This window comes from Homo sapiens, chromosome 2 (assembly GCF_000001405.40).
Source record: "Homo sapiens chromosome 2, GRCh38.p14 Primary Assembly".
NCBI classification, from domain to species: Eukaryota; Metazoa; Chordata; class Mammalia; order Primates; family Hominidae; genus Homo; species Homo sapiens.
The window spans coordinates 235,263,403-235,264,842 of NC_000002.12; the positions used below are offsets into that span (position 1 = coordinate 235,263,403).

General features: G+C 48.3%; 3 annotated features.

Moving 5' to 3' along the window:
- Window positions 223–517: an enhancer, noted in NCBI's record as "tiled region #14454; K562 Activating non-DNase unmatched - State 20:ReprD". NCBI's record gives its function as "activates a minimal TATA promoter and a strong SV40 promoter by Sharpr-MPRA in K562 cells {active_cell/tissue: K562}" and the evidence as "EXISTENCE:reporter gene assay evidence [ECO:0000049][PMID:27701403]".
- Window positions 223–537: a biological region, named in NCBI's record as "Sharpr-MPRA regulatory regions 1285 and 14454".
- Window positions 243–537: an enhancer, noted in NCBI's record as "tiled region #1285; HepG2 Activating DNase unmatched - State 1:Tss, and K562 Activating non-DNase unmatched - State 20:ReprD". NCBI's record gives its function as "activates a minimal TATA promoter and a strong SV40 promoter by Sharpr-MPRA in HepG2 and K562 cells {active_cell/tissue: HepG2 | K562}" and the evidence as "EXISTENCE:reporter gene assay evidence [ECO:0000049][PMID:27701403]".

The following is a 1,440-nucleotide window of genomic DNA, read 5'->3' on the forward strand; positions in this document are numbered from 1 at the left end:
AGATGGATTTCTACCACGTGGGGAAAGCAAAACACCCTATTTGCTCACAAAGGCTGGACAAGTTGGAACCCATGTAGATGATCTTTATGATTTCTCTTTATATTTTTACATTTCGCCTTTTTTCTCCCCATAGTCCTCCTCTCCTTTACCCGCTAACATGGGATTGCAATTGATTGTTCTTTACTTTTTAAACAGCCACACACAGCATCTATTTACCCAAGTGATTAAAAAAGAAAAACAATTCCATGGCTCTGCAGTGCAGTCAGGGAGGGCTCAGGAAAGGAGCAGGCGCCGCGTGGTGGGACAGCGTGATTCCAGCGCCTCGGCATGTCTCAAGGAACAGACGACTGTTGTTCGCCCTGGCTCGCTCTGACTCATCCTTCCTGTAACTCTCGCTCTTTTGATTCCCGCGTGGCATCCTCTGGGCTGTCTTTCTGATACAGAAGCCGCCGGATCTGGCACAGAGCTCAGCAGCTACTGTTCCCATAGACTCCCCTGGAGCTGTCATAAGACATGATTTATCGAGTGGAGAGCCGTCCCTCTCAAATCACTCCAGCATTTCTAAGCCAAAGACTTTTCCCCATCCACCAGGGCTGTGTGACATCATCTTTTTGACCTTCGGACCCGGAAGATCTGTGCTCATCCTCAGAAGATAGGCGTACTGGGTCTAACATTTACTTTCTCCTTTCTATTCTCTGACCTGCTTTTCACCAACGTAGAACAGGGGCTACCATCTGCTGAGCCTGTACTGTGTGTGTGTGGCAAGTTAGATATGTCAATTCAGTAAATTATCACGAACCACATAAAATGTAGGTATGTTTTTCAAGGTTTATAGATTAAGGTACTGAAACTCAGAGAGGTCAGGTGACTTGCCCAGGGTCACACAGCTAAAGATGACAGAGCTAGAATTGGAACCCAGTCCTGTCTGACTCCAAAGCACACAGGTTATCACTACTCCACAGGTGCCCTCTGCTGTGGACCACAGGGAGAACAATTGCTCCTTTGCTTTGAAGAAAGAGGAAGGAAAATTATTGTAGGTTTGCAAAGAGTTCATCTACATTTTTCCCCTCAAAGAGGGAGATTCCTTAACCCAAATCGTCCTCACTGTCACCCTGGCTCAGCTACTTGGCTTCCAGAGACACCAAAGTTAAGTGTGCACATTCTCAAATAGGTCTCCTGTTTTTATTTTGTGCAGCAGGCAGGGAGGGGAACTCTTGGCAAGGAGCCCTTCTTTGACAGTAGCCTGGGCAGAGAGAAGATCAAGGAGGGACGCGTGGGTATTAGAGTGGCAGGAACAAAGTCCACACCTGTGCCGCCCAACACAGCAGCCACTCACCCCGTAGGGCCGCTGGGCACTGGGAAGGGGGCACGTTCAAGCCAAGCTGTGTTGCCAGGGTAACGCACCCACCAGGTTCCAGAGATTGTGTATGAAAAAGAGAA